The following is a 5,975-nucleotide window of genomic DNA, read 5'->3' on the forward strand; positions in this document are numbered from 1 at the left end:
TCTGAGTTTCAGAGTTCTGAGAATGGCTTGAATAAGTTTATACTAACTTACAGTAGCAACAATTGTTGAATGCTTACTATGTAGAAGGCATAGTAAGGCGTATGTTAAATGTGTTGTATTAACTTATTTAGTTCTCACTACAGCATCAGGAGGTAGGTTCCATCGTCTATATTGTTTAGCTTGGATAGAAATAACTTGCTTAGGGATAGCCTGTTAGGTCTGTCTGATCCTGAGGTGTGTACTCCAAACTATATTATACTGCCTTCCTGTGACCATTTTCTAAATACAAGTATCATATTTTGAAAGTAAGATACATAAAATTGAGCAGTTGTTCTGTGATTACTGTGAGGTAGACTGTGAGTTGGGAAATGTTACATTTGGAGTGGAAAACATTATAATTATGGATTCAGAATTCCATGATCAGGGATGGCTGGGGACAACTTCTATTCTAGAACATGGGTTGGGAACATGGACTCTGGACTCATATTTTCTGTGTTTGCATCTCAGCTCTGCCACTTTGTAGCTCTGTGACCTAGGACTAACTCAACTTCCTGAGTCTCAATTTTCTTGTCTATAAAATGATGAAAATGCTGCCCATCTCATAGAGTTATGAGGATTAAATGAGCGAATACATGTAGATTCCTTAGAATAGTGGCTGACACTTGGTAAGTGTCATTAGATATCATTAGCATTTCTATATCTTTCACTTTATATGTCTCTTCTGGCTGTCTTCATGTGTGCATAGTTGTACTCTTGCTAAGAAATGCATAGATTTACTTAAGGATGTTGTGAAGCTTGTCCACAGAATTATAATGTGGTTTTGGAGTCTTTAGTATATTATAATAGAGGGAAAAGTTATTACTGTCAATTTTTTCCACCTTCAAAAACAATTATTGCTTAAGAATTACTGGGATTAATTATCTTTTAAATGTTTAAATCTGAATTCATATTTATAAAATTAATACCTGTTCAAAATCAATATTAGTAGAAGCCAAATATATTGAGTGACTTAGTTGGCCTTATCTTTAGTCATAATTTCAGATTGGAAGTGAAAGCGAATTTAAAAGATGTGGTTGTGTAGAACCATCTCTTTTATTCTTTTTATACATGCATGTGAGTGAGGTAAGTGGTTAGACATATTCTTAGTCTTTTTGCCCAGCTCAAGGAAGAGTTAATAAAATTACGTTATGTAAAGTGCATTGAACTCCTCAAGAGAGAAGTGTTACATTAATACCTGCCTCACAGTGATGTTCTCAGACTTAATGTTTGTAAATTGCCTTGGTACTCCCAGTAACATCCTGATGAAGCATCATTTTGTTTTATTGCAAGGAGCTCTAAGTTACACAGAATACAAGTTAAGGGGGAAATAATATCCCAGTCTTTATTTTACAATCAGAAGTACATAAAATAGAGAGAAAACATTTTGTTCCAGTTGTGAATGGTAAAATTGATCATTTATTTTTTTCTCTCTGTTACTTTGGGGATGACGTAGAGTTTATAATGTAGTTTAATTGAGCACTCAAGGTTAAAGTATTTAATGGCAGAATTGGTGATCATGATACAAAGAGATCTTTAAGGACACTGGTATTCAAATTTTTAAAGTTAAATTCCAATTTTAAGAGTCAGTTTTTTATATGATTACTATTAAGTTTGGCATTTTTGAGACATGTCTTAAATCGATATCTGTAATACTTACAAACATCAGTAGAGAGAATCATATTGTAAACACATATTCTTGCTGTAGGGTACATTTTAAATGTCTAAACACTAATCAATATAGCAAAATTAAGTATTGACTAAAATAGCTTTATAATAAGTAATTATTGGTTTGCTCTTTTAGAAATTAGACATTTTCACTTTGGGAATAAAGAGTAAATTTACTGTCATGAAATTAAAGTGTTTTTGACCTTTTTGTACAACTTTCCTCTGTCTATGAAATGATTAGGTTTAAATATGATTGCACAGCTGTATTATGTTGCAAGCATCAATTTTTAATTATTATAAGGTCAATGTTAGAACAAATGTGATTAGAACAGTACCTCTGTGCAGTTATTTACTTTCTACTCAGAAACCACTCTGTGTTTACTAAAACTAACCCAAACCTCTCTCGGTTGATATGGCTAATTAGATTCTTGCCAAATATTTTATTTTCCTCAGTGTTCATTCTATGTATGTTATTTTGTTGATTCGTTCAGTTTTTTAAAATACGAATTTCGTGATTTATTTCTTCCCTTCATAGGGGGACATTTATTTTTCTATGTGTCTGTGTGTACATATCTCTCTGTGTGTATAACCACAGATAACAATAGCTTCACAATCCTCCTGCCTTGTATAGCACAAATATTTCTTCCCCACAATATTATTGAGAACTGATTTGTATAAAGCACATCTAAAGAGAAAAGGAGTTTCCTTGCCAAGCCTAGATTTTTATGATTCTATAGTCACAGAGATTTGCTGCTCTTCCTGATTTTCTCCTGCCACTCTATGTGACTTTGGATTTGGCCTTCAAATTAAAAGTTTCCTGCTATATAAAAAATGACAAAATAATACATGATCTACACATTATTCATGAAAATTCCCAAGATTTTCAGCATTAATAGTAATTCAGGTTTTAATCACAAAAGTGGTTTTCTAATTCTTAATTAGTTGTTCAGATTTCATTTACTGTTGATATATTATCTACATTTTAAAAACAGCAATAATACTGGGCAAAAAAATTTTGTTGCCTTTAGTAAATGAAGCAGCCTAAGATTTCCTGCACAGAACACACAGGCCAAATAGTCCATCTCTGTGGTCTGGGGAACGAATGGTCAGATGTTGGCTGGGCTCCACTGGGAGTCTTAAGATGCAGCAGTAAAGGGAGGAAATCACTTGGCTATGGCAAGTGGAAGAAGGGCTGGTGGAGTAGTGATTCATTAGTAGGAATAAGCAGAATGTGCTACTAAGAAGGTAAGTTTTACTTTTGATTCATTAATAATTCTTCAGTCAATTTCATAGGGGTATAAAGGAACACTTAAAAGAACTTACTCCTATGTTAGATGATGCAGCTTTCACCCCATACTCCCTTCTCATCTGTTACATTATTTTTGAGTCATGTATTCTGAAAATAGTTGCTTTTGAAAAATAAATATGTAGGGTCCTCTTGTCGAATACTTTCAAGTTCTATGTAGGGTGTAATGATAGAATTCTCCACAATGTAACAATGAGTGAGAAGATATTTTGGAATTGGATGGTTCTTCCCCAAATCTCTTAAATTATATTACCCAAGAGGAAGCTATTTCTGAGTGGTGTTGCGGAAGCCTAGTTATGGTAGTCAATGCTGAGAGCATCTTGGAAAATCTTGACATAAATGTCTCCAGAACCTCCGACTGTAAAGGTTCATGTAAAACATAAGCCTGTGACAGGCTTGCATTTCAAAGTTTCTAGTTTCAGGAACTGCTCTTAGCTACTGTGCTCTTAGTTACTAAGCTATTTAGACCCAGCATATTTAACATATTTATAGTTATTATATTTAGTTGCTCAACAAATCTAAAAAAAGATAGCTACAAAACTGTTTTTATGTTTCTGCCAATAGCTTAAATATCATTATTCACATTTTCTAAATAATATTGAATGGAGAGATTCTATGATTAAAAAATAACAAATCTAATTGCCAAGTTCCTGTTATTCTCCATCCCCTCTACTGCCTCCACCATCACTACTTATTGACCAAAATATTTATGAATAATGCACTGTAAACATTTCTACAGAAATTCTTCTTCTTATAAACAAAGCACCATAGAAAGATCATGAATGAACAATTTTATAGAATTTAAAAGCCAAAGAAATGTTAATCAAGGTTAAAATTATGCCTTATTCCTGTCAGCCACAGAAATTAGGTAAAAGCTTTGTTTTCTGATGAGGCAATTTCATGGAGCCTTTCTCAGTTACCTTCACTGAGCCCAACCCTTTTTCCAAGATGTCATTAAAACATCTTCACAAGAGGAGACGGCCAGCTATGGCACTTCATTTTTCAGTCTCTAACTGCCTCTGGATTTGTTTTACCTCTCAAGTCTGTACTAACATCCAGGTTTTGGATAATATGACGATTTGCATGGATTACATATTTAGAGCAGATTATACCATGTTTGGTTTGGTGGTCAGATGAGTCTAGTGTAGGGAATATAAATATGGCTCACTATGTGAAGGTGCAAGGGTAGCATACTGTTATATTTCTAAATCGAATAAAATTGATATATTCATTATCCAACTTAGTTTGGCTAGATATTCAGTAGTGGCTGTAATTGGTTTGTTGCTCCCCTCTTTTTTGGTATGATACAGGAAGCTTATGTGGCCTACACACTAGGAAAAAGGCAGGGAAGGACTTTTGGACCTCAGTTTACTTTTTTTTGCATTGTGATAGATGCTCATGGTTTTAAGTCTTGATGGTCCAATTTTAGGTGCTCCACTTAACTCCAAGCCAAGCTAGGACAGGATAGGAAACTTTGCCAAAGCTTAAAGCCTTCTAGGAAATGAAATTTTTGAATAGCCTGGAATCACTTTGCCTACCTGGTCATATCACCTCTTCTAGGGTGTGATGAAGAATTTTCACGAAGCCACCTGAGGAGCCAATTATTCTATGAAAATATGATCAGCTACATCATAAAAATGAAAATTAACATGATAGGAGGCTGAAGTCTGGGACACTGCCTTTGGGGAGAGAAGCAGAGCTGGTCCAAGCCCTGGCCCCAAGTAAAGCCACTGTCCTGGAGCCACCTTGGAGGTCCCCCTCCACACTAAATGCCTCTTTGCACAGCACTGGTCCCTGCTCCCACCTCTCTGGACCACTGCAGCTGGATGGGCAGTGGCGAGTTGGGGAGGCACAGCATGACTCAATAAGATCTGTCTATTTAAGCGTGTTCTGCTGGGTCTGCAGTGGGCAAATCTAACCTGTCCTCTGCCTTGTGAAGGGACAATTTCATGCATACTAGGAGAGCACACTCGGAGCAGCCTTCCTCCCACAGAATGTCTGCTTGGACAACACAACAGTTAGGTTTGAGATCTGGGACACGGTTGGACAGCAGTGGTATCACAGCCTGGCCCCCATGTACTCTTGGGGGGGCCCAGGCTGCCATCATGGTCTATGACATCACCAATACAGATACATTTGCCAGAGCCAAGGACTGAGTGAAGGAGCTACCAAGCAGGCCAGCCCCAACATGGTCCTTGCGCTCACGGGTAACAAGGCAGACCTGGCCAGCAAGAGACCCCTGGAATTCCAGGAAGCACAAGCCTATGCAGACGATGACAGTTGGCTGTTCATGGAGACATCAGCAAAGGGTGCAATGAATGTGAATGAAATTTTCATGGCAATAGCTGAGAAACTTCCCAAGAACAAGCCCCAGAATGCAGCTGGTGCTCCAGACAGAAACCAAGGTGTGGACCTCCAGGAGAACCACCCGGCCAGCCCCAACCGGTGTTGCAGCAATGGAGCCCCCCTTGCCTGTCCACTGCCCCCAAGTCTTCCACCTTAGTGACCTGGAATCCACTCTAACCAATTGTACTTAACGACTCGGGCCACCTCTTGGGTAGGGGGGTAGGAGTAGGAGTCCACCATGATTTCTCCATATAATTTTGGTCATAGGCCATAGTGAGTTATTTCACCTGTACATTTCTGTACAAACACTAATTGGATTTTAAGTCTTAAGTCACTTTTTAAATGTATATGATCTTCCGCTCTTCCCACTTCCTCCTCTTCCTACTGCTTTCCCACTTTTCTTTTGCTGGTAGTAGCCACGTGCTCCTGTCTCCTGAACCTTGTATATGGGGACAGTGGGGTCCAAGCAGCTACCTTCTTTCCCTCTTGTGGAATAGCGGACCCAGCAAGAGCATCCATATTCTTACCTTGTTTGAAGTGGTCTTGGGTTTGGGCGGTGGGGCAGGCCTTGGGGCTAGGGAAGGAAGAGGCAGCTCTTTCTTCATCTGGCTGTCATCAG

The 5,975-nt window shown here is 37.9% G+C and overlaps 1 pseudogene; it reads left to right on the forward strand.

Moving 5' to 3' along the window:
* RAB5CP2 (RAB5C, member RAS oncogene family pseudogene 2) lies at nucleotides 4,666–5,668 on the forward strand (annotated as a pseudogene).
* Nucleotides 5,669–5,975: the final 307 nt, after the last annotated feature.

The sequence above is a fragment of the Homo sapiens genome, chromosome 5, assembly GCF_000001405.40.
Source record: "Homo sapiens chromosome 5, GRCh38.p14 Primary Assembly".
Classification (NCBI taxonomy): domain Eukaryota; kingdom Metazoa; phylum Chordata; class Mammalia; order Primates; family Hominidae; genus Homo; species Homo sapiens.